The 27,490-nt window shown below is 42.2% G+C and overlaps 1 protein-coding gene across 7 annotated transcripts in view, besides 2 other annotated features; it reads right to left on the reverse strand.

Annotated features, from left to right (window-relative positions):
* The window catches only part of ASTN1 (astrotactin 1), a 307,392-nt gene that overhangs the window by 45,200 nt on the left and 234,702 nt on the right, over positions 1-27,490 (reverse strand). Inside the window, exon 18 of one of the 7 annotated variants that reach the window (XR_921796.4) lies at positions 9,278-10,921. The exons of the other annotated variants lie outside the window; for them this stretch is intronic. The gene's annotated coding sequence lies outside the window, so the exon portion shown is untranslated. Of the gene's footprint in view, positions 1-9,277; positions 10,922-27,490 lie in introns of those variants that run through there. 7 annotated transcript variants of the gene reach the window in all.
* Positions 1,373-1,874: an enhancer, noted in NCBI's record as "H3K4me1 hESC enhancer chr1:176873029-176873530 (GRCh37/hg19 assembly coordinates)". NCBI's record gives its function as "activates a minimal SCP1, AML or CMV promoter by ChIP-STARR-seq in primed H9 embryonic stem cells {active_cell/tissue: H9 hESC(primed)}" and the evidence as "EXISTENCE:reporter gene assay evidence [ECO:0000049][PMID:30033119]".
* Positions 1,875-2,374: an enhancer, noted in NCBI's record as "H3K4me1 hESC enhancer chr1:176873531-176874030 (GRCh37/hg19 assembly coordinates)". NCBI's record gives its function as "activates a minimal SCP1, AML or CMV promoter by ChIP-STARR-seq in primed H9 embryonic stem cells {active_cell/tissue: H9 hESC(primed)}" and the evidence as "EXISTENCE:reporter gene assay evidence [ECO:0000049][PMID:30033119]".

Below are 27,490 nucleotides of genomic sequence, written 5' to 3' on the forward strand. Positions count from 1 at the left end.
ATGTTAAACTGAGGTTTTGGTGTAGATGCCGTGGTTTGCCTTTGCCAAAAGGTGTTAGTCAGCATTGGCATGGAACAGTGAATTTAATAACGAATTGACTAAACAGCCTCCCGTATGCTTCTTTCTGCTCAGTAATGGTCAGTTCCATTTGGAATGAGAGGTTGGGTCAAAGAAATGATGGGATAGTAGAATTTTCTAAGAGATTAATAAAACACAAAAACAGCCTTTGAAACTTAGCTGTGACCCCAATTGCATCCCTTTATGAATCACAAACTTAGTGTAAAAAATAAAGAACAAATTGCTCAGCGAGGCAGACACCTCTGTAAGGATTCCTGAGATCCAGCTCTACACAGCCCATGCATCTTAAGAGGAACAAGAATTAAATCCAAGAACTGCTGGGAAGCCCTAAAGCTTTCACTCCTCAAAGGAAGTCTTCTAATCAGCTAGACTGTTAGTTCCCAGTGGGCAAGAAGCTGCCTTATGCTTGAGTTGCCATGGTTCTCACCCAGTGCTTTACACTTGGAAGCATTCAAGAAATACATCAGGATGGAGAGAAGCAAAGGGGATTTAGCCTAAAATTCCTCAAATGACAACCCAAAGCCTCATGACAACTCACCATAGGCAAGGCTGGGAATGTAAGGCACCTCCATGGGATTTTCCTAAAGCATCTGCTAAGCACATATACGTGGGGGAGTATGGGAGACCAAGCTGACACCATAGCTGCCTCCACCTTTGCACACCCTATAAAGTGTTTCCTTCTCTCTCTCTCTCTCTCTCCCCATTTCTTCCCATATATTTTTTGAGAGCTACTCTGCTCCCATCATTCCTTGCAGAACTAATTCTACTGGTACTTTGTGCCTGAGTCCAGAGGAGCCCGGACCTCGCTGTGCCAGTGCTTGGCTTTATGGCCTCTGTCCCACTCACTCCCAGGGCGAAGTGAGGATGTACCCCTCTGCATGTCCTTAGAGCCTAGCACTCGGTACTCTGCAGGAGCTCCCTCTGTCTCAGCTGAATTGTAGTAAATTTGTGTGTGCATTATCTTATACCTACATTTTGAAACCTTTCGTATGGCAATTTTAAGTGTACTTGATTCCGTTTTTTCATTTGCCTCCTACACTCCTCCTTTTTGATTCACCAGATGCCTTTCTTGTGACTCAGAGCTAATCACCAAGGCTCTTGTTCTTATCAAATCCCTTCCTCTTAGTTTCCTAGGGCTGCTATAACAAACCGTCAGCAATTGAGGCACTTAAAACAACAGCATGCATTCCCTTCCAGTTCTGGAGTCTTCAAGTTCAAAATCAAGGTGTGGTCAGGGCCATGCCCCCTTTGAAAACTCTAGGGAAATATCCTTCTTTGTGTCTTCCCAGCTTCTGGTGGCTCCCAGCTGTCCTTGGCACTCCTTGGCTTATAGCTGCCTCACACTAATCTTGGCCTCAGTTATCACGCGGCTTTCTTTTCTGTGTGTCTGTGTCCAAATCTCCCCCTCATTTCTCTTATAAAGACACTAGTCGTTGAAGGTAGTCTAGGGTCACCTCATCTTAATGTAATTACATTTGCAAAAACAGGTCACATTCTGAGGTTCCGGGCAGGCATGAATTTGGAAGGACACTGTTCCAGCCACGACAGTGTCCATAGCCTTTAACATTGTGGCACTGGCGGGAGAGCCCTTCCCTGACCCACAGCCTGTGAGGACTCACTTATTGGCCATGTAGGGGCTTGCAGTCCATCCCCTCAGCTTCCTCCCAGGGCTTAAGGGCAGTGGGAAGTGAAAAGAAGTTCCCGGCTCCATCGGCGTCCTGCTGTCCTGCTGCCGAGCAGCAGCTGTGTGCAGCTTCTTGTCAAAGTCAAAATAAACCTGACATAGAGATTCGGAGTCACAGCTCCGGGATGTGGAGATCTGTGCTGGATTATCCCTGCTGTGTCGCCACAGACAGAGCAGCATGGGGAGAGGGAGTGCGGGGAGAGGACGACACTGAGAGAGAGGCGAAAATGAGGAACACCTGCGGGATTTGCTATTTCCAAATCTCCATTAGCAGAAAGACAACGTGAATGAGTGGGCATGCTCAGCACGCTGCCAGGAAAGAGCCTCCCGTGCACTTGTCTGGAGATTAAGGCTTCCTCCGCGCCCCCAGCCTTGTTCCTGCTTGGGAGGCTGAGCTGAGAAGCCAAGTGTGCATCCCCAGACCACTCAGGAGCAAATGCTTCCCATCTTTCCTGGTCCTCCCAAAGAAGGAGCCTGGAAAGCTCTCAGGAATAGCCCAGGACACGGCAACTGTGGCAGAGCAAGACCGAGGCAGAGAGCGTGCTGAGGAAGGGGCGCCCAGCATCAGCCTGGACCTCGGCTGATGTTGAAGGCCCCACTGAGCTACAGAGTGGAATTAGTGCTGCTTTTCTCTATCTACCCTGCGGCATTTATTTCTCCAATAGGGAGTGCACATGAGTCCCTTGAGTTTGGGCAGAACCATCAGCCCAGCAATGCTCTCTTTATGACTCCATTTACCTCTCAGAGCACCCCTGCGTGCTTATCTGTTCTCCACCTCTCCTTCCCTATAAGATCCAGCTCCTGCCTCAACATCTCTCTTTTCTTCCTACCTTCAAATCTGGACAAGAAGAGCACAGGGCAGGGAACACCTGGATAGTTCTACAAAGGGTAAAACTGACAAACTGCCATTACTTGCCCCAGCTCCACAGTACAAACACTCAGCTGAATGTTACAACATGACCTGTGTCTGTGTGAGGGTGCCTGATATGAGTCTATGCAGGCGGGTGTCTCTCACAGCTTAGGCAGCACCATAGCGGAAAATTCAATGCCTTGCTGAGATGCTGCAAAGGCTGGCTCATAAATATCTTTAACTACCAAATGGTCTAGAAATTTTTAATAAAAATATTATTCAATAATAATACTACTCCAACCGGCAAGGGAATGTTGTAAGAGTCTCCATTTTCCTCTGGACACTCATCTGGCTTCTGTTTTTAAAATGGATTTGGATGTTAAATCCTCTTGCTGCCCTGACCAATTTATTCTGCAAATTAACTATATCTGACAGAACTTAAAGTCTGTTACCATTTAGCTTTGCCTCACTGAAATTTATGCTGCTTCCCTGCCTGCTGGAGCCACAGGCCCAAATAGACATGGCTCTTGGTGGCGATTTGGGATTCTGCACGGTTCTCTCACCGCTTAGTCCTCATCTCTTGAGTTTTAAAATGTGCTGAGTGGATCAGGCTCTTTTCACCTCTCGGTGACCTGTGCCCTCTGTTTTAAAATACTCTGGTCTCTGCAGCTGCCTCTCCCAGCCTTAATGAAGCTTTCATTACGAGATGTGGTTTCACCCAGAGCTGCAACCCAAACTGGTTGGTGAGGGAGATTCATGTGGCTCTGACTGGGTTGCAGTACCATTCGCAAATGGTACAGACAGCTGGACATGGGAGGAAACAAAGGGGACAAAAGGAAGAGACCAGTGATGTGAGGGCCATGGCCACTAGGCCGAGGGATGGATCTCAGATTGAATTAAAAGAGCCTGGTGACTAAGGTGACACAGAGAAATGGTGCTGTGGCAAGCCATATACCAGCAGTTGGTTTACCTCTGGGTGCCTCAAGCTGAGAGTGACTCTGGCAGTGAGGATTGTAGGGCATCTGGAGCCAGTGCTATATGAACAATGGTTGAAGGAACTGGGGGAGTTTAGAATGGATACAAGGAGACTTGGAGACAGACTTAGCAGCTGTCTCTTTAAATATTTGAAGGGTTGTCACATGGAGACAGGACCACATGAATTCTGTGTATTTTCAGAGAGCAGAATTAGGATCCAAAGAGAGAAATGATGAGAAGAGTTTACTGAGCCACAGGTTTTCACTGAGTGCCAACATGTGTCAGAAACAGTGCTCAGTGCTCCATAAGGAAAGTACTCTGATAAATAAGAAATAATGCTCATTTTCCAGTTTGCAAGGCGTGGGGCAGACAGAAGAGTAGACAATGATATGATAAGAGGTGTTATTAGTGGCATGGGACAGGGGATTTTGCTTACACAGGAGGAAGTATTAAAATCTACTTTGCGATGGGCCTCGTGGTTCATGCCTGTAATCCTAGCACTTTAGGAGGCTGAGGTGGGCAGATCGTTTGAGGTCAGGAGTTCAAGACCAGCCTGGCCGACAAGGTAAAACCCCATCTCTACAAAAAATATGAAAATTAGCCAGGCGTGGTGGTGTGTGCCTATAATCCCAGCTATTCAGGAGGCTGAGGCAGGAGAGTCACTTGAACCTGAGAGGCGGAGGTTGCAGTTGTGCCACTACGCTCCAGCCTGGGTGACAGAGTGAGACTCTCTCTCAAAAAAAAAAAAAAAAAGAAAAAAATATTCTACTTTGGTGGGGGAGGTAGGCTAAAGGAAGATGTGTGATTTCTTTCAGGATAATTTTTGTGATAGTTTATAGCTGGTATAAATTAGGAGAGATGCCTTAGAGATGGTGAACCCTTGACTAGCACAAGTATTCATGTAGAAGCATTCATATAGAAACCAGTCAATCACTTGCCAGGGATGCCAGAGCAGAGGGAACATTCCAGAGAATGAGTTCTATTTTCCTTTTAACAGGCAAATGTTAAAGTTCTATTATTGTATGACCTGATCTGCTCAGTATTTCCCTAAATCCATGGAGCTGGAGAATCTGCATTTTATCAGGCACTCCAAGTGATTCTGACTTAGGCCATCTTCAGATAACATGTTGAGATCCACCACCCTGGACAAAGGTAATTTATTAAATATGGTCAGAACGCTTTTTATAAATCTTATAAATAACCCCAATATGTAAGACAGATAAAGGGGGGAATATACTCCTTAGGCATTTAATATCATTACTGTTTGGTAAAAAGAAACAACTCCATTGTTGATGCAGCTATTCCAGCATCTACTCAAATCCCCAGGGTACAAGTGGCCTGATTTGAAAACTACTGACGTTCGTCTGAACTGTCCTACAAGTAACCAAAAGTATTACTTCACAAGCACTTTGCTTCTTGAATTTTTCTAGACAAAAAGCACTGTTCAGTCAGTCCTGCTTTAGGGGGAAATAATGCAAGTCAGAAAACTTTTATATACTTGACCAAAGAATAGATCTACATAATCATGCAAGTTCACCTTCTTGTCAAGAAGGGACTTCCTGGAGAAGTTAGAGAAGAAGGCAACACCCCTGTAGACAGCCCCATTCAATGGGATGAACCCCTACAACACAGAACACAGGGAGGGGCAGACAGAGAAGCCAGATCTAATGCTGTCCTCCAGACAATGGCTGGAAAGGCATGTATGAGTTAAGAGATTACAGTATCAACTCATCCCATTCCACTGCCATGAAGAAAACTTTATCATTATGTCCAAAAGAAGGTGCTGTGGTTTTAGGTCACCTTCCTGCACTTTTAACAACAGTAGATATTAAAACAATTACAAACCTAAAACAGCATAACTGCGTGGTCCCTTTACAGGCCCCTACTGAGGAAGGTGGAAGCTGTTATGATCATAGGAGGGCCCACTTGGCAGTTACGATCACCAATAAAGATGGCTACCTTGTTACTTTGCCCTCTAAAGCTTCTGCCACCAGGACTTCCTTTAATATCTAACTCTCTTATGCAACACACACACACACACACACACACACACAGAGTTAGCTTTTTAATTAAAGAAATTACTGGATGAAGGTTGACTAAGGAGCAACAGCAGCAGCCATAGCAGCAAACAGACAGCCAGGCAGACATACAGACCTGGCCCTGCTCAGCCAATGTGCCAGCAGAGGCTCACACACCCACTGGCAAATAAGGACATGGTCTATAAGAAGACCAAGTCTCTGAGACTCCTGAGTTTGGACAGCAGGTGATATCAGGAAAGCAGACCCACATCTGGCCCTAGAAAGAAAGGAGAAGGCAGGAGAGAGATGCAGCAGCCCCGTCATGTCTGAGTAAGCAGCCAAGGCAGAGGCTATAGCATATCATATCCCAGGCCAACCCCTCAGCTGGCAAAGATGTCTTCACCTGGAATTCCTTATCTCATGGCACAAGGCAGTCAGCCTTGGGTTCACATTCAAAGCTCTGAGACATCATAAGATGCTTAATCTCTTTGGCCTTCAGTTGCCATATCTGTAGAATGGGTTAATAACAGAACTCATCTCACACTGTTATTCTGAAGGTTAAATGGGATAATACATGCCAGGCCCTTAGCATGGCTTCTGGTATGTAAGCTTTTGATGGTAGGAGCCATTCTTCACCATTTTATCCTTATCACCTAGTACAGTCTTGGCAACCAGAAGGTATAAACGTGTGATTAATTAAAAAAAAATAGCAATGCTCAGAAAGAAAACAAGAATCTCTATACACTAGACACTGAACAAGAACATTTAGTAGTAAATAAAGGCTAAATTTGTAGGCTTCACGTCTGCAAGAATGGAGCCCACCAAGGCTCCATTGGCCAGTGAGGCCAATTCCTGCATAATAAAGGGGCCAGAAGTCTCCTACAGTGGTGGTGAACCAAAGCCAAGCCCAGAGGGTGAAAGTAGGATTAGGAAAGTCTCCACCACTTGCCCCCCAAAATGTGGCTGAAGAAGTCTTCACCCAGTCCAGGTCTCTGACAGCATCGAGTTGGGTGCCTGTGCTGGCAGGAGGGAGCAGACTATGGGCCCACATGAACTCTGCTTCAGGCCTGGAGCCACACAGTCCCCGACAGCCTCACAGGTTGAGAAAGAGGGAAGGAAAAGATGATGTTAAATGCATAACTAGTTGGTGACAATGGGCTTCCATGTAAAGTTTTGATGCATGAGATCTATCAGAAGATGTGGCTATTTTGCATAATGGTGGCATCTCAGACATTCTCATTGTTGCAGGCATGCTTGTTTAGAATGACATGATGCCTGTGGTTCCAAAGGGACCCTCAAGGCTGGCAACCATTCTCTCTAGGAGTTGGGTGATCCTTTAATTTATATTAAGGGGAAAATGGGTAAAAAAGATGCTGCTGATCATCCTGAGCTTTAGCTCCTTCAAATAAAAATGCAAAACTAGCAGAACAGAATTAAATTTTGGTCCCCCAAGCCAACCTTTTTTGTTACAAAAGATTTCTCCCTGAAATGTAACACTAGTTGGATGGTGCTCGCATGGGGTGAATGGTATATAAATGACAGCCTCTGAAGACCTCCATCCTAAATCTTGAATAACTATTTATGATACTTAGCTGTTAGTACTGAGTGCCAAGATTTCTAGATTCTTTTTAATTTTCACAGAGAAGAGAAAAAGCCTATCCCTCCTAGGTATCAGTAAGACCCTGGGCGTATCTTTCCACTGTCTAAGTCTGGAATCACAAACCCACAGAAAAATACAGAAAATAAGCCACTCAGCTACATTATGTCATGAACTCTATTTCCAAGGCTTGTAGCGATATAGGATTTTGTATTTAATTTTTCATTCCTACAGTAACAAGCCTACTAAAGCCTAGTCTAGAGTCAAACAAACCACACAATGGAATGCCTGCCTCTGCATGTATGTTTGTGCATGCAACCATCCCCCAACAAAACACCCCCAATTCCAGGAAATTAAATGGCGTTGTGAAAACTGAGAGAACAAAACCCTTCTAAATGGTTGATAAGAAAATTCACTGCTATATTTCCAAATTTCTGAGTTGCATCTAACATTTTATTTTCAGAAGCAGTAAGAAGCGAATGTTATCAAGAAGCAACCAATGCTGGAATTTTGCACGTATCCTGGTAAGCACCTATCTCAAGCTTGTTACTATTATTTCTGTTTTTGAGTGCACATCTTTTTAGGCCTTTCTTGTGCTTCCGTCCTCAGTCTCCCAGGGCTTTGTTTCCATCAAAAAGTTTGTTGACAGCAGTGAAAAGTCAGAAGACCCTAACAAACCCCACTCAATTGGGTAGAGCAAATACAAAGTTATTGAATGTCCACTCACAAGATACGATGCTGGTCTTCCAAATATGCCAATATGAATTATGTGTAATCTCTACATTCAATGGATGTAATATCTTGTTGAAGAGATAAGACAGACACTCAGAATATAAGCACAGTCACACATTGCTTAATGACAGGGACACATTCTGATAAATGCATCATTAAGTGAGTTCATCATCAATGCGTACATCACAGAGTGTCTTCACACAAACCTAGATGGTATAGCCTGCCACACACCTAGGTATATGGTGTAGCACAGGGGTCCCCAACCCCCAGGCCATGACTGGTACCAGTCCATGGACTGTTAGGAACCGAGCTGCACAGCAGGAAGTGAGCGGTGGGTGAGAGAGCATGAACACCTGAGCTCCACCTCCTGTCACATCAGCGGTGGCATTAGATTCTCATAGAAATGCAACTCTATTGTGAACTGCACATGCAAGGGATCTAGTTGTGTGCTTCTTATGGGAATCTAATGATAAATGTAATGCTCTTGAATCATCCCCAAACCATCCCCTCTGACCTGTCCATGGAAAAATTGTCTTCTATAAAACCCGTCCCTGGTGCCAAAAAGGTGGGGGATCACTGGTGTAGCATATTGTTCCTAGGCTATAAACCTGTACAACATGCTACTGTACTGAATTCTGTAGGCAATTGTAACACATGTAAGTATTTGTATGTCTAAACATAGAAAAGGTACTGTAATAACATGGTATAAAAAGATAAAAAATGGTCCACCTGTAAAGGGCACTTACCGTGATTGGAGCTTCCAGGACTGGAAGCTGCCCTGGGTGAGTCAGTGGGTGAGTGGTGAGTGAATGTGAAGGCCTAGGGCATTACAGTACACTCCTGCAGACTTTAGAAACACTGGACACTTAGGCTACACTAAATTTACTTTTGTTTTTCTTTCTGCAATAATAAATTAACTTTAGCTTACTATAAGTTTTTTACTTCATAAACTTTTTAATATTTTAAATGTGTTCACTCTTTTGTAATAACACTGAGCTTAAAACACAAATTGCACAGCCATATGAAAATATTTTTTCTTTATACACTATTGTATATGCTTTTCTCTATTTTTTAAATTTTTATTTTTTTATTTTTTTTACTTTGTAAACTTTTTTGTTAAAAACGAAGACACAAACACATACATTAGCATTGTTTTCCACCTCCATATCTTGTCCCACTGGCAGGTCTCTAGGGGCAGTAAGATGCTTGGAGCTGTCATCTCCTGAAATAACAATGCCATCTTCTGAACTACCTCCTGGAAGACCTGCCTGAAGCTGTCTTACAGTTAACCTTTAAAAAATGAGTACACTCTAAAATAATGATAAAAAGCATAGTATCAGAAATATGTAAACCAGTAACTGCCATTTATTATCAGGTATTACGTACTGTACATAATTGTGTGTGTTAGACTTTTATACGACTGGCAGCGCAGTAGTTTTGTTTACACCAACATTACCACAGACATGAGAGTGACGCATGATGCTGTAACATTACAATGGCTACATCACTCAGTGGCAGAAATTTTTCAGCTACATTACGATCTTATGGGACCACTGTCATATACGTGGGCTTGCATTGACCAAAATGTTGTTATGTGACAAATGATGGTGCTCTTTAATAAAATATCAAATAAGGACCAGATTATATCAGGAGACGTATGCAAGGGAAGAATCATTGAGAAGGAAGCTTTTGGGATAGGCTCAAGGATACAGGCATCTTTAATAACAAGAGCTACCATCTATGGTGGAAGTCAGCAAACTTTTTCTGTAAAGAATCAGATAGGAAATATTTTTGGCCATGCAGTCTCTGTTGCAACTACTCAACTGTGCCTTTGTAGTGCAAACACAGCTATGGGTATTATGTAAACAAATGCACATGGCTCTGCTTCAATAAAACATTATTTATGGATGGTAAAATTTATTTATGATGTTCATGGCACATAATATTGTTTTTCTTTCTTAGTTTTATCTTTCAATCATTTAAAAAGGTAGAACCCATTCTTAGCTTGAGGGCCATATAAAAACAGGTAGCAGACCAGATTTGCCTGCAGGTCATAATTTGCTGACCCCTGACTGTTCATTAAAAATAAATGCTTTAGTATACCCATTCTCATTGAATTCTTAGACCTGCTCTTTGAGGCAGGTATACTCATTTCCATTTTCTAGATATCCAAGATGAAGTTTAGAGAACTTAGGTCATACAGATTTCAAAGGCCTTTCTTTTAACCACTAAGCTATACTACCTCCCATAATGGTAAGGAACACAGGGGGATGGTGGAATGAGTAGGTTTTCTTTAGCCAAAGGAATTTAAAAATCTAAAAGTAGTTTTAACAAAGAATATGAGGCTTGCTATCATGGCTTTCTCATAGCAAGCTCATTTTAGATCTCTGCGATTACTACATTCTCTGTTTTCACAAGTCAAGCACAGGAAAGATATAATGTTAATAAGCTCTACTTTTCAGAATATAATATTCCCCCATATTTGAAGAAAAAAGAACAGCCTTCTAGCATTTGTTCCAACTTCTCTCCACCATCCATGATCCCACGGAAGGTCGTGCCCACCCCTGCAGGTAACAGGTATGCTTGAAGATCTTGCTCTCCCCTGCTGGAAGATCAAATTCTATCAAAGTTGCCCATTTCTCTCTTTCCTTCTCTCACTGATTTAAGCAACAATTCTCTCTTACTTGGCTTCCTTGCTTTCTTCTTGTTTAAAGGTAATTTTATGTGTCAGAGAGAATGGAAGGAAGACAGGGGTTGCCATGTTCTCTCCATTACCTATTAAGATTACAGGAGGTGGTGATTTCAATTCTTCTTTGGTCCTCTTCTTTCTCTAAACACAGCTAAAATGTCCTTTATACTGTCTGTGGGTTTTTTCACAAATGTAGGATCACATTGGGTTGTTGGCTTTCTGATGCTATTGATAGGTTCATCAGTCAGTGCACGTCCATGAATGCATGTGCCCAGCATTGGGCTAGGTACTGTGGGAGCTGTAAAGGTAGGATTTACAATCTATGTGGGATACAAGACTAACAAACATGTGATAATAGTAATAATAACAGCTGCTCACTATTAAAACATTTTCTATGCCCTGGCACTCTGCTAAACACTTTGCATGTATTCTGTCAAATAAAAAACAAACTTGGATTTAGAAGAATTTTATTCTAAGCGATTATTGCTGGGGCAGGGTAGGGAAGCCATTGAATTTGGAAGAATGCTCTGATAAAGTCTGCAAGCATCTCTAGAGTTGAACAAAAAGAGTTTTTAACTTTTATAGACAGAAGTGAACAAGGCTACAAAGAATCTGGTGTGGAGAAGCATCATGATTGGAAAGTAGATAAGAGAATGTTTTACCTGAAACCAGCCTACATTCAGTAGTCACTATACACAGCTCAGGCTAAGGGTGAGCCGAAGCTCAAGGGCTTGGGGGAAGAAGAAAAGTTTAACCAACATTTGGTTCACAAGCATTTTGTTGTGATTGATTAGAAGAGACAAACAATTTAGCTAATGACTTATAAGGCAAACAACGGGAATTTGAAGAGTGTATCTGGCTATATTTTAGGTAAACAAGGGGGGCATCATGAGTCTTATCTAAGTCTCATGGGGAAGGGTGAAATTCAACATTGTCAGTTCTCTATATGAATCTCAGTGGTTGGTGCTAAAATAGTTCCTATTTCAGAGATGACAAAACCGGGCAACAGAGAGGTTTATTACTTTGTCCAAGGTCACAGAATTATCAGTAGAAAAGTTGGAGCTTATATTCAGATCTGTCTGACTCCAGGGTAGTCAATCAGTCCTAAATTCTATGGTAGAGACTATAAGTGTCACAGGACTTTGGAGGAGAGAGGACATGAGTGAGGCCCAGGGGAGTCGCCAAAGGCCTCATGGAGGAATATGTTCTGAAGAATGGGCAGGCTTCGCTGACTAGGTAGTTAGAAACAGTGTAAATTATTCAGGGCAGAGACAATAAGGTCAAAGAAACAGAGGTGAAGGTGGCCACAGAGGTCATTACAAAGCTTAACTCTGTGTTATGGAGGTTTTAACTGGATAAAGAATAAGCATTAATTTACATAAATAGGCTAGGGTCATACCGCATGGGGTCCTGAAGAACCAGTCCAGGAATTTTGAGCCTGAAGCAAGTTAGGAAGCAAGCAGTGCCTTGCCTTGGTCAGAAGCTACACAGGAATGGCACTAAACCGAGTTAAACTGAGTCAGGCAGTGAAATGACTTACAACAAATGAAAATTTGAATGAATCGTAGACCGGAGGGAAAAATAGCCAAAAGGCTGTAACAACAATGCGACCTTGGAGGTCTGGGAGTCAGACTGGGGTAGCAACCGTGTACAGAGAATGAGGGACAATCCAGGGGGTATTTTAGAAGAAATGAAAGGATTTGGTGCCAGATATGGATAGAGGAGGTTAAAGAGAAAACTTTCCTCTTATTAGAAGATGCATAATAATAAAAACTCAGAATCTTTCTAAGTAGGTTTGTAGAACTTTTGTCTTTTAGGGTCCTTTAGTATCATTACTCAAAATCACAAATAGACAAAAAAATTTTCATGCTCTGATGTAATGGGAAAATCTAAGTTAAAATTAGCAGGTTTCCTGTCAACCGTTGAAAACCATTAAAATTCTAATATTTATTACAAGTACCCAAGGAAAAAATATAGCATACAGTGTTGGTCAAAAATAATTTGAACATAAAAATCACTTCTTGCAGATCATTTCATTGAATTAGCGTGCTACCGAGCCCACTTTGGGAAATACCCTAATAGTTACATTACTGAGGACCTACCATGGGCCAGGTGTTCTACCCGCCTTATGACTCTTAGTCCTTACAATATTCTCATTAACTTGTTTTGCAGATGAAGAAACTAAGGCTTGGAGGCTTTAAGTCATCTGTTTGATGATCAGGCAAGCACTGAGTATCTAACTACCAAACCCTCCTCCCCTCCTTGCATCAAGCCTCCTTCCACATTACAGATGTACAAGATCTTCAAAAGCAGACTTTCCCAGCAACCTCCAGAACACTTGATTATTGGATTTTTCACAGTTGTTTTCAACAGTTTCTGAAATCCTTTCCTGGATGCAGGATATCATGCATCCTGGGCCTGCTGACACCAGCTTCCAATCTATTGGCATTCACCTGCTGTCGTACACAGCTTCCGGTGGTATCATTCGGATTTTAGATTACTCCTCTCCCTTTGTTCCCCAGAACCCAACATCTATAAACATGAAAACACAGGCAGGAAAGGGTACAATGAGCAATCTCCAGCTTCTTAATGCAGGCGGTGTGATGCGGGGAGGAGAGGGAGGGCACGATAAGGTCCCGATGTCTCACATGTCCCTGGAATTGACATGCACCAGGCTAGTGCTTGCAGTCACTACCATCATAGACCGTTTAGTGTTAAATTTAGAATTAAAACCAATTAAAAGATAACAAGAAAACATATGCTTGGAATGGCAAGAATCAAACATGACTGCTAGCTACTGCAGGGAGGTATTAGAATGTTTTACAAACCCGAAACTTGCCCATTCTCAGTCTTTCACCCATGTCCCTGGTTTATCTCCACCCAAATGGCTTTCAATGGAAAAATCACTGGGATCTTTACTACAGTGAATCTGAAAACTGGAGTTAGAAAAGACTCACCATTGACCCTTTCTCTTGTGCTAGGTCAGATGACTGAGTCCATCTGGATTCAAGGTTGTGTTCGAATAACGGCTGGGGCTAGGATTGAGGTGCTTCTCCTTGGGGTCATGGTCAAACACAGGTTATTTGTGAGATAAGGATGCAGATGAGTATGTAGGTTCCCCATTCCTCCCTTATATCTCAGGAAGGTAGGTGTGCCTGCAGCTCCAGAGTTGGGGGTAGACACCCCAGAAAGGTGAGTGCTGCCTTTGGCATCCCCAGACATGTCAGCATCCAGAAACAAATTGTACTGTCAAAAAAGGCAGTAATTCTGCTGCTCAGTAATCCAAGTCAGCCAGTTTAATGTCTGGGTGAAAGATCTCTACATTCTTACTTTGCCATCATTGAGGGGGGTCCCCGCAGAGCCCACAGGTTTTCCATGTATGTCTCCCTAGGAGATTTCCACGAGTGTGCACTGCTATGGCTCAACACACCCTCACCCTCCACATCCAAAGAGTCACCTATTGGCAGTATTTCCTAAATTAACGTCATATCAACTTTCCACTAGACATTTCTTCCCTCTTCATCCAGACCCTCAGCAGCTCCCACCTGGTTTACTCCAAAATTTTCCTGACTGGTACACTTCCCTCTCATTTTCACATCTCCCAAGCATCCTCCACGCTGTCATTACATGTATGTTTCTAAAGCACAATCAGAAGATGTCTTTTCCTGCTGAAATCCTTTAGTAGCTCTCAAGGGACTTGAAGGTAAAATCAGGCAAGAGGGCATGGCAGGCTGGCCCTTTGAACCTCTGCCTCCCCGCCCCGCCCACAACCAGCCTCTCTCCAGCCTCACTTCCCCTACTTACCCCACATTAGCCAGGTGGACAGCACTTTCTCACAACCCAGGGTTGTGCTTTTTTCCTTTTTAGAACTCCTTTTTCCCAGAGTCAGCCTGAGGTTCCCTCACCCTCCTTCATTCAGTGCGGTAGCACTCCTGCTAGGAAGGTTCTCTTCAGTCCTGCCCCATCCAGATCTGGAGCCTCCTCTTTGGTGCTTCCTTTCCTCAGGTCTCTGGTAGCCCCTGTCATACCTCATTGTAATTTCTGGTTTCCTAGACTCTTCCCAGAGACTTGATGAACAACTTGAGGGCAGGCATAGTTCTTATTCATCAATGTATTCCTAATGCTTTCCATAGGGCCTGGCACTCAATCACACGTAGCTGTAGGTATGTGTGGAATGGAACGCTTCCCAGGGTGGGGTGGCACGGTGAGAACTGGGCAGAGTAAGGATTTTCTTTCGTTTGCTGTCATGTTAATATTGACTAGTAATAATAAAACTGTTCTGTGGATGACCATGCTTCATCTGGCACCCCCGTGGGAAGACGTGCTTATCCTGGGGCAGCAGTGTGGGCAGATCCAGAAGCCAAAGACATGCCCGGGCAGTGGGACAAGCCTCTGGAGTTCTCCTGGTTTTTAGCAGAAGGGAAAACAAATGCATTGCTTTGGGAGGGAAGGATGATGAATTATGAAGCCTTGGGTTCCAGTTTCAGTTCTGCCCTGTAGAGTAAGGGGTGCTGGGCTACCAGCAGGTGAGAGAGAGGGCCGCAGTGCAAGGACACAGGGTCTGTGGACAGATGTCCTGTGTGCAGACTGGTCCTACTGCCAGCATCCTCACATCTGGGACAGCACACTCACCTTGGAGACACCTCAAGGGACAAAGCTGTGTTCTGCAAGGTGCCCTTCAGGACTGGGCACAACTCACCACGTGCCTTCACCAAACACAGTCACAAATTGTAACCTACCTTCTCACTTCACAGGGTGGCGAGAAAAACAGTATATGTCAAAAATACTAATAATTTTAAACTCCTGCATATCTATTTCCATCATCATTATTTCTCAGAGCTTTTGCAGTTATAGTACTTTATTATTCTCTAAGTGAACTTGGCAATAATTAGTAGGCTTGACCTACTAATCTCACTCTGCCTCTCAGCCACACAACACACAGCTACTCACTCCTTTTGTCATTGCAGCCCTCCTGTGATCCTCCTAATTCCTGACTGTTTCTTCGTAGTCTTCTTTGCGGCACCCCCTACCCCAACCTTTCCTCTGTCTTACTTCTTACAGTGGGAACAACTCAGGGCTAGGTCCTGAGCCTACTTCTCTTCTCTGTCTTCCTCCTTAGGTAAGCTCATCTATCCCCAGGGATTTAGGTACTAGTTGAATTCACCAGAACTCACAGATTTGCATCTCCAGCTCTGACTTCTCCTCTGAGCTCCAGACTTGCAAATCCAATGGCCTCCTTCACTTTTCCCCTTAGATATCTCTATGGTAGCTCAAAATTGACAGGCCTACATGAAGCTCTTTACTGCTCACCCCCCGGCAACATGTTCCATCTCATTGGCTCTGAAATTATTATAGTAACTGGCACTTCTACATCATCAACTACTCAAGCAAATATCTAGGAACTCTTTGGTTCCTCTTCCTCTGCTCTTCCCTCCCCAAGCCCCACTCTATTGCCAAGTTTCTCTATCCCCTAAACAAACCTAGATCTGTTCTTTCTTCTCTGTGTCCTTTCCTTTCCATTGCCCAGATTACTGCTTTAGTCAATAAATGGTGTCCCTGTGTCCACTCTGGCTTCCCCTGAAGCCATTTTCCATCCAGTGCAGGAGGGATTCAAAGAACAAAAATCTAAGTGGTGCATTCCTCTTGGTGGCTTCCTACTCAGTAGCCTAGCTGGGGTCTGTGTGGCCCTGCATGGCCAATCTCAGCCTTCCCAGCCTCCAGCCAGGCCCCTGTTCCCTCACTTGTCCTGCCCCAACCCCACCAGCCTTCTCCACCACAGGTTTCTACACTGGCCATTTCCTCTTCCTGAGACACCTGTCCTCTGGCTCACCATCCACATCTTGGCATAAGTGCTACTCAGCCAAGTTTTACTGACCACCCTCTTTAAAGGGGGCCACTGCCCCTGTTACCCATCCTAGCATCCTATTCATTACCCTCATAGCCCATCCAACACTCATAATATTTTGTGGATTCTTTATTTTCTTTTTAATATTCTGTCTCCTTCACACCTACTCTAACAAAGCAGGGATTATGCCTCTCATGCGGTGTTGTTTGCCCCAAACCTGCACACATTAGATACTCAGTACATGTTCACTAAATGACTAATAAATAAGTATAAGCATTTTAAGAAAGAATAACTTATTGAATTACAAAAGAGATTTTCTTCAGTTTCATTCTGCCTTTATGTTTAACTGTAGATCATTAATGATCTCTACCAGCCTAAAGAATGCAGGACACGTGCTCAATACAGATCCCAACATATTAATTACCCCCGAAGAAAGAGTGGTGTGGGAATTTTGAAGGAATCACACTTCTTTTTTCTACTCTACCGTGTAAAAGAATTCAAAGACCAGTAAAGGTTGGGAGCTGGAATTTCCTGATTCTCCTCATCCACCTTACCATGGTCAGTGTTGAATATGAACCCACTGTGAGCAGAATCTATCACACAATACCCAGAGGGAGTTGTAAACAAGTAGAGACAGAGTCCCTGCTCTCTAAGGGAAGAAGTAAAACAGACCAAATAAAAATACAAAAAGCTGAAAATGCCCCCCAAACACATCAATATATATAGAACCAATTACCACAGTAATCGACTAGGTTTATAATAAACTGACAGGAGGGACCAGGGCAGCCTGCATGGGCAATGGAGGCACATATAAAGAGTGACTTTATAAGCCGCCTCTGCGGAATAAACCTGACTGAAGAAAAACCCCAAGGACAGAGAAGAATGTCAGGGGAGTGCCAGCTGTGGTTTTACCCTATTATGCTGGTTTCCCCTGGTACTGGCTCTCACATTTCACCTACAAAGCACATATTTTAACTGGCAGATTTATCGAGAAATTGAGCTGGAGAAATGCTTCTTTCTACTTTTCTTTTTCTTTCTTTCTTTTTAATAGGCAAAAGCAAAAACACTTTAAGGCTCGCTTGAACCTGCTTAGTTTTTGCAATTGCTCTAAACTGAGGGCTTTTGTAGTATTTAATTCTAAATGAGTGGAATGGTGCTCTCCCTTGCCAGACTTAAACACGCTGATGGGCTTTGTATGGTTATGACTTAGTGGAACCATCTCCTGCTTTCTAATTATGGTGGGCTTTAGGAGGAGATAAGGGTGACTGCTTTCTCAGCCCCAGGGTATGAACTCTGTTTAGACAGGTACTGTCCTTGCTCCAGCCTCAGTGGGCAGCCAATGGACCTCTAGCAATCTATGAACAACCCTTCACAAAACTGCAAGGGAGTGGTCCAGGCATCCCACATGACCCGGGGATGGCCTAATCTAGCTGGCCAAATCCTCTCCCCAGAAATGCTTTATGTTGCAAGTTCTTTCATTCAAAGTTCCCCATACCTCCCCACTTGTTTCCCCTTACAGTGCCTTTCGGGGTCCCTCTGAGGGCAGCTGCCTTTGGTATAGGCACTTTGGTACTTGAAAACCAAATCTTGCCCCGGAAAAACTTCCCAAGAAATGGGATGAACTATGAATGTGGGGAGTGTGTTCTGAGTCTTACAACAGTTTTTCCTGCTTCTCCCATGGGTTCCGCTGAGGGCTCAGCCACACTGTCCTATGGACACTGGCTTGCCAGCTGTCAGCTTTGCCCTCAACATCTAAAATTCCACAGTGGGTTGCAAGTCTTCTTTTATTAACCACTGCATTCCTAGTACCTAACACTGTGCCTGATCTATATATAATAAGCACTCAATACACCTTTTTGAATGAATGCATATACATCATTATTGCAAAGGAATTCATAGATTTCCCTCAAGGTGCTGCTAATTGAGGCCTATGTACCAGTGACTCTGCAGACAGCAATATGTCAACAATAAAGACAAAGTTTATCTGGAAATTTCCAAGAGAGAGAAGTTAATCAGATTGGAAAACTGTCTACTTATCAGTAACAGAGACTGAAATGACGTATTCTGGGACCTTTGACTAGTGTAGCGTTAATCACCTTCATTTCGTAGAGTAGATGGCCATTAGGGCCACATTTGAAAATGATGTCACTGCCCTCATTTTCAAAAAATGAGTTACTTACCTGATTCATTTCTTGCTGATTTCCTTAACATTAGATTTTTCTTATATATTTGTATTTTTCCTTTAACTTATATCTTCTATTAATTGAACCAACTTTCAAAGAGTTCCATGAGATTCAGGGAAACCTTGTCTCTGACAACAGAGGAATGTAAACTAGAAACGGAAAGAAAATGGCTAGTGGCCAAATGAACAAGAGCTTAGATGAAAGGGGTTCCATTATTTGTTGGTTTAGGTCAAAGTATTTTTGTGCCTTTTGTTTCAGTTTAAACACAGGTTGCATGTTATACCTAATACATACTCCCTCACCTTCTGCAAAGAAAACTTTCCTACTCACTTTGTAAAAGAAAGGAAAATACAAAAAAGGTAGTAAAAGAAAGACTATTGTTGACTCCTACAACATTAACTGGTAGCTGGAAACTTACAATAACAATCACTAATTGGAGGTACACAAATGCATCTAACCCAGGTCCTAATAATTAATTCTGGTCTCACCTTGTGTTTAATCACTTGGTTTTTATGTCCAGCCTGTTCTTTTAATGCCAAATTCCCAGACATCACATTATCTATCTCCCAACCCCAACCTCACCTCACACATACAAAACAGCAAACATGGAGATATGAAAGGAGGGATGAGAAGCTGGAACAAGACTGCCTTCAGCATGATAAAAGGGTGAGCTGGTGCCAGGAGGTTGCAGGGGAGGGTGTTTGGGGAGACACTCTCTTAAACAATATGCTATCATTTCTAGGAAAGGGAAGAAGAAGAGAAAAAATATGACATTCACTCGTTTATTCAAAAAATATTAACTGACTGCTTGCTAGATGCTGTACATGGTAAAATGCATTGCAGAAGATGGGGTAGGAGTAGGAAGAGAATTCAGAGATTTGTGAACATGGCCCCGACCTTTCAACAATTGTTGACCCCCTTATGCCCCGGAGAATATAAAAGTGTTTCTCTAAAGCAGGATTGTTCATGAAAATCAGGACAATAAACAAGCCTAACAAAAACACAAAACTACTAATGTTATCTCTCAGCCCCCATTTGCACTTCTGTTGAAACTGGGTTGTTAATGGAGCCAGAGTCCCCCTTGTGAGGAATCAGAGTTATCTGCACCTGCATTTGTATGCAGCCTGTGGAACCAGCCGTGCAGACTTTGAATCGTAGGTCACAGGGAAGCTGACACAGCTGGGCACTTTTATTTTTCCCACCTCTGGAGGATGTGCCTGACAGCTCCTTTGCACTTAAAAGGGAGTAACCCCCAGGCTGCTTATCAAAAAGCTTCCCCAGGGAGGCTGAGATGGGAGGATCCTGAGGCCAGGAGTTTGAGGCCAGCCTGGGATTCTTTTCCACAGACAGCACATTCTTACAGTGTCCACTCCAGCCCCCACTGCAAAAAAAAAAAAAAAAAAAAAAAAATTCTCACATGGGTGGGAGAAGTGGTATTTGTTTCCTGATCTTTTCCAATAAAACTGTCTACGACAAGGTCTGAACATGGTTGGCAAAGGAGGTGATCCTGATCCTAATTTTTGGAATGGAGGTTTGACCCTGCTGTTCCACTAACCACAAGTTAGTAGACGATTTGTGACTTCTGAAATATACATCAGTGTTGTACAAACAGTGAATTTTACCCAGGGCAAGTTTTACTAACATCCTTTTTAAATTTTTATCATTGCTGTTTTGTTCAAAAATAGGGAGATGAGCTTCAAATTTCATTCAAATAATGCTAATAATAATAGTAATGTAGTAATAATAATATGAGTCCCAATGCACTGAACACTTAAAAAATACTAGATATTGCGCTTTATGTATAAACCTTGTATCCAATCCTGGTACAACCTTTTAATATAAGTATTGCTAGCCCCATTTTACAGACATGGAAACTGAGGTTCACAGCCATTAAGTAAATTTCTCAAGAACCACATCTAATAAAAATTTTGATGCAATTCTGTCTAATACTAAACCCTTGCTACAAACAACTACATTCAACTACTTCCATTGCAATATCAACCAAGTTAACCTATTTAACCTTGAGTCAGGCATTATTAAGTGGTTGCATTCCCTTATCAGAAGTAGAAATCATTTGCCGAGTTTATAGAGTCACAGAACATTAGAACTAGAAGAAACTCTAAGTATAATCTAAGTTCATTATTATACAGATAAGAAAATTATTTTGAAGAGGGTTAACAATTTACCCTAGGTCAGCTGACTGGCTACTGGCTCAATTGAAACAAAGAACCCAGTTCTCCCAGATCCCAATCCAGTATTCTTTCCCTCAACATGTTGCCTTAGAGTAGAATGGGCAATACAGCAGGCCCCCATCATCATCAGTTTTGTTTTCTGCCACTTCAGCTAATTATAGTCAACTCCAGTCCAGAAATAAGTACAATAAGACATTTTGAGAGAGAGAAACCACATTCATCTAACTTTTATTACAGTATAATTATCCTATTTTATTATCAGTTACTGTTGTTAATCTCCTACCGATTTATAAATTAAACTTTGTCATAGGTATGTAGGTACAGAAAAAAAAAACCTAGTATATGTAGGGTTCAGTACTATTCAAGGTTCCAGGCATCCACTGGGGTCTTGGAAAAGATTCCCTGCAAATAAAGGGGACTACTGTATAGACATTTTATTGCTTAGGACATGAAGTACTCATCCCAAAAGATGTGAAAACTCCAATGATGTCAAGTTCAGATTCTCACATCTGATGTAGAATCTTCCCTTCCCTTATCCTTTATCTTGTGATTTTTTTTTCCTCAACACATTTCCTGCAGAGATAATTAGTGGTGGACTGGAGCCTATAACTTAATCAAGATAAAATGCCTGGTAAATATATGTCTTATACTATTTAGCCTCTAGCCATATGCTTACTTCTCCTGGGTCTGAATTTCCATGGCCAGCCCAGTTGCACATTGAGCTACATGTTGGATAAAAGAAAATGCGCTAAACAAATTGGCCCCATTTTAGCTTGGCCATAAATAGAATTTCTTCTCTACATACCCCATCCAGGGATCTAGGCTTCTCTTTTTTCCACAGTCATGTTGGTTATCATTCTGATATTTAGCAATTATCTCCTATAGGTCCTACATTATTCTAGGAGCTATGGGAATTCAGAAAACAATTGTCAGGGTTTTGTGTTTGCTATTTCATCTGCCTGGATTGTTCTGTTTCCCATCTCTGCATGATCAGCTCCTTATCTTTCAAGTCTCAGCTCAAAATCACCGTCACTGAGGCCTTCTCTGTGCTGGCCATCTGGATTTACTTCAATCCTTCAGTCAACCTCTGGTACATCAACTGGCTTCAGTTTCCTCAAAGCATCTATCAGTATCATAAATTATTGCCTTCATTTATTTGTTACTTGACATTTTCTCTCTCTTCTCACTAGGATATGAGCTCCAGAAAAGCAGGAAAATTTTTTGCATCATTCATTATCATATCCCCAGAGCCTAGTCCAATGACTAGATATAGAAGGTGTTAAATAAATGAACAGCCCATCCCAGGAAGCAATCAATCAAGTTCTGAAGACAAAGTTTACATATCTGGAGTAGTTGGGAATAGTCCAGAATATGATAAAATTAACTACTAAATTGTATGGTAGAGACAATATGTTACTATTGTCAGGCTCATAATTATATGAAAGGAGCTTTCATCAGCACTAGAATTTTCCCATCAACCAAAATACTATCCAGGTTAGGATGCAAAACTCTTCAAAAACTTTCTAGAGGGAAAAATGAGGTCCTCATCTGAATACTGTTTTAAGCAACCTAGACAGAGCTTTCCTGAGATAGTAAGATTAGGAAAATGTTGCCTAGAGTAGTACAAAGCTATTAAATAAAAAAGTCAGCTTATTGCCTTTAATACTGATTTTTGGTATGTTTCCAATTCCTTCCAGTGCCTGAGGGCTTTAGATAGTTCAGTTCTTCAATTCTGCACATAAACTATTTTCTGCACACAAGCCTAGTGATCAATGGCCTAATCAAAGAAAAGCCTTGGTCCAAAGTGAAAACCACGCAGGATAGGCCTCCTGCCTGACACTACTCTGTGGAGTTGACATCAGGACATAACCCCGGAGACCACCGTGCCATGGCTCCAGTGTCGAAGTTTCTGTATTAGACAGGATGAGAAAAGACAGTAAGAGAACACACAGCCTTCAGGTCTTCAAGATAAATATATAGACTTGTTATACAAAATGTGGTCTTGGAACTAACAGCTTTGGCATCATCTGGGAGCTTGTCAGAAACGCAGAATTTCAGGCCCCACCCAGACTTACTGAATTAGAATCTCCATTTTAACAAGATCTTAGGTGATACATATGCGTATTACATTTTAAGAAGCACTGTTGGATAAGAGACAAAAACTATTCCAACAACTGTGTCATCATTATGGATCATGGCCAAAATAAATCCCACAACACTCAAAAATACAAAAAACTAAGAGTTAATGGCAGTGGATCACCATGAAATCTACCCAGGGTTGATTTCTGGTCCGTGGTGGGTTTACCTTAGACCAGTTTCCTGGCTTCAATTATTTCTTATTCTACCTCATTTTGTCCACGAACTTTTCTACTTTGATCTGTTCTTGTGCAATTGGCAGGCTAAAAGGCAAGAAGTGATTTCTAGTTCATCTCAGTAGGTAAAGGCATTCTTTTTTTTTTTTTTGAGGAGTCTCGCTCTGTCACCCAGGCTGGACTGCAGTGGCACAATCTCGGCTCACTGTAAGCTCTGCCTCCCGGGTTCATGCCATTCTCTTGCCTCAGCCTCCCGAGTAGCTGGGACTACAGGTGCCCGGCACCACGCCCAGCTAATTTTTTTGTATTTTTTAGTAGAGACGGGGTTTCACCGTGTTAGCCAGGATGGTCTCGATCTTCTGACCTCCTGATCTGTCCGCCTTGGCCTCCCAGAGTGCTGGGATTACAGGTGTGAGCCACCGCACCCAGCCAAGGCATTCTTTTTAATCCTGACTCTATTACTTACTATTTCTGTGACCACATGCACATCATTTAAGCTCTCATTATTATTATTTCGTTATCTATAAAATGGGGAGGGTAAGACTTAAATGATATGTATGTTTGAAGATTAAATGAAAAAGGCGATATAACATGCTTAGCAAAGTGCCTGCTCAAAAAAAAAAAAAAAAAGGTAGCTATTTGGTAGTAGTATTCTTAGTAACTTTCTCCCTCAACCTACATATCTAGTTTACTCTGGACTCATTGCATCAGAGCCTAGGGACCTGGAGAAGACTCAAATTAAATCCTCACACATATGTTTAGGAAAGCTTTAGAGTGTCTTAGGGAGGCTCTGTCTATGACACCAGTGGGCTTCGCTGTGGCAGCACCTTCATCAGGCCTGTCTGCCTGTGAATGTTGTGGAACAGCTGCCTTCTCTAAATCCCCTCTCTGCTCACTACAGGGCTTTGCATGTAACAGGCCCTCAGCGAACATTTGTTGAATGAATGAATGAATTAATCATTTAGAGAAAATAACTGTATGCCATAATTGCTTTTCTACTTGAGTGCTAACTTTGTTGTTGTAAATGCATATAGAAAGATCCTTTGGAGCTAGTTTGCAACCTTGGGGTTGTAAAACATAAAGCCGTATAGAAATTTGTTGACTCTTCATTGGATTTCTATAAATTTGTGTCATTTTTATGCCATATGTTACAATGAAGCAAGTTAGCCTAAGAACTACATCAGCCTGAAATACACAAGGACAGGTCTAGGCTGTCCGCATTCACAGAGCAGGATTAGAAGGCTGATTGCTGATTCAGCTGTTGTTTTTGGTTCAGCCAAAGCAGAGGTCTGTTTACTATCCTGGGAGAGGAACCAATTTAGTCTTCCTGGGCTTTATCCACATAAAAACGTGGAAGACATGACATCTTGTCTGCTGGAAATACAATGCCATGTAGGTGGTTTACTCCTTTCTTTGACTCTGATTTACCGCTGCTTAGAGCCTGAGCGTCACCTTAGAGGATGAACTCTCAGCTTGTGCCTCAGAGGGACAGCAAGTCATTCTTCTCAGCTTTCCTGATGGGAAGGAAGCAACTGGCCAGGACAAAAAAGGTGGATTATGTAGAAAAAAAATGTGGATTACGAACGAGAATGTGCAGTGGAAAGGAAGAGCTTGCTTATTACAATTTGTCCACCCAGATAACCCCGCTGATATGCACCAAAAGTAATAGCAAGAAAAGGCGTTGGCAAAGGTCAGATCTAAAGCAACAATGAAAGTGATATTGGAAAAGGAAGGGAAGAAAGACCCAAGGAAATCCACTCCTGAATGAAGTATAAAGAAAAGAAAAAGAAAAAAAATGTACTGTGCTTAGTGCATCAGGTGAGGGTTACAATTAAACCCCTGAAAGTTCTAATTTAAAATCAGTTTCCTTTTTTCTTGGTTATTTCTCTGGGATATACAGATCTATATCTTTTTACTGGCTTCTTCTGAAGTAAGAAAATATAAAGGATCCATTCCTTTAACAAAATGTGGATGTTAATTACATGCCAGGCACTGTGTCAGGGATGAAGACTCAAAGATTAACAAGACGTGGTCATATCACTTTGTAATTCCTCCCAGACTTTGGTCCAAAGCTCAGCTTTCTGCAGATAAAAAGTATGTTTTCCTTTGTTATCAGTTACCTCAGTGATACAGTTAACTCAGGATAACATAAACTTTTCAGAATATTCTTTTCAATCTTTTAAAAGAGTTTTATTATAACAGTGGCAGATGCTTGTGGGAAAAGCAATTTGGAAGTTTTCAGTCCAAAAAATAAAAGTCCCTCATCCATATCTCTAATCTTGGAGCAAACAGATAATTTATTTTGAGATTACATGTACATGTTTCTCTATAAATATGCATGTTTGTATGTATGTGTATATTATATATATGCACAAACTCATATACATATATAATATATATTACATATAAATATCTATATTTTGAGAGAAAGGATAAAATAATTAAATATATATGTATTTATAATTTTACAGAAAGACTAGACCCTAGAATATCTATTCTTCTAAAGCTTGCTTTGTTCACTTCCATTGGCTAGGAATAGACTATCTCTGGATGGATAGACAATAAACTGGTAGCAGTGGTTGCCTGATTGCCTCTAGGGAGTGGAACAGGATTACTGGGAAATAAGAGTGGGAAGAAGATTTACTTTTCATTTTATTCTGTTTTCTGCATTTTGATTACTTTAAATAAACTTTTGAAATTAAAAAAAGAAGAGAAATATGGTAAATACTGTCAAGTCTATTATTATGGAAGACAGTTATGCAGGGAAATGACAATCCAGGGAAATGTGGAGAGTGCTGCCAAAGGATCCATATAAAGAGCTGTGAGAGCATAAAATAGGCAGCAGAGAACCCTGTCTGAGTGTCAGGGGAGGCTTGGTGGGAGTGATGTTGGAGCTAGCTCTTGCAGAGTAGGAAGGAGGAGATGGTAGAATGGAGGGCAATTTAGATAGATTGAGAATCACATGCCCCAAGGCTTGGAAGTGTGAAAAACCTTGATGCCCTCTTTCAAACTAGGGAAGTCTTAGTCCTGGACCCATGTTGGGGCCTGACACTTGGCAGGGTATTATTTAATTATTTAAGGTCTAGCAATTTATAGACCTTTAGGAGGCAATGCAAAAATGCAAGCAAGAAACATAAATCATAGCCAGGAAGACTAATGTGTTGATCGTCAGGGCCTGGAAAGAGAGATAGATGCCTCCAGGAATTAGGCAACAGAACAGACACAAAGGGACAAGAGAGTTTCAAGTGGAGGACAAGAGAAGCATTCAAGAGAGAAAATTTCTGAGTAAGACAGAGTAGTGGTGGAGACTTTAGAGAGCAAATCTCTGACCTTGGACTTAAGCAGGAAGGAAGTCTCTAGGGACCTAAACTGTACAGAAGCAAATGAAAAGGTTTTGGATTGACAGAAGATAACCTTATGTCATCAGAGTGGAGGGTACTTGGGGTAGGTAGCAGTCAGTGATGCAGTGGCTGGAGAGGTGAGAGGGGGTGGTAGGCTGAAAAATGGCTCCCATAGTCCTAATCTCTAGAACCTGTGAATGGCAAAGGAGAGCTTGCAAATGTGATTGAATTAAAGTTCTTGAAATGGGGAGATTATCTTGAATTATCTGGGTGGACCCAATGCAATCAAAAGGGTGTTTATAAAAGGGATGCAGGAGGAGTCAAAGTCATAGAGAAGGCTATGTGGCTCAGAGACTGGAGTGATGCACTCTAAAGATGGAGGAAGAGGCCGCTTGCTAAGGAATGCAAGTGGCCTCTAGAAGCTGGAAAGGACAAGGCAAGGGATTCTTCCCTAGAGCTTAAAGAAGGACCGGGTGATTCCTTGACTTTAGTCCAGAGAAACTGAGTTTGGACTTCTGGCCCCAGAACTCTAAGAAACATAAATATGTGCTTTTTTAAGCCACCAAGTGTGTGGTAATTTGTTACAGCAGCCACAGAAAACTAATACAGGGAGTGCAGTCAGCTGTTCGTGCTGAGAAGGCAGAAAGGAGTTACTGAAGGATTTAAAGCTGAGGAGTGATGTCATTAGATAGCATTTAAAAATGATAACAGACCGGGCACGGTGGCTCACGCCAGTAATCCCAGCACTTTGGGAGGCCGAGGCAGGTGGATCATGAGGTCAAGAGATCAAGACCATCCTGGCTAACACGGTGAAACCCCATCTCTACTAAAAATACAAAAAATTAGCCAGGCGTGGTGGCAGGTGCCTGTAGTCCCAGCTACTCAGGAGGCTGAGGCAGGAGAATGGCGTGAACCCAGGAGGTGGAGCTTGCAGTGAGCCAAGATCGCACCACTGCACTCCAGCCTGGGCAACAGAGCAAGACTCCGTCTCAAA

This window comes from Homo sapiens, chromosome 1 (genome assembly GCF_000001405.40).
Source record: "Homo sapiens chromosome 1, GRCh38.p14 Primary Assembly".
NCBI classification, from domain to species: domain Eukaryota; kingdom Metazoa; phylum Chordata; class Mammalia; order Primates; family Hominidae; genus Homo; species Homo sapiens.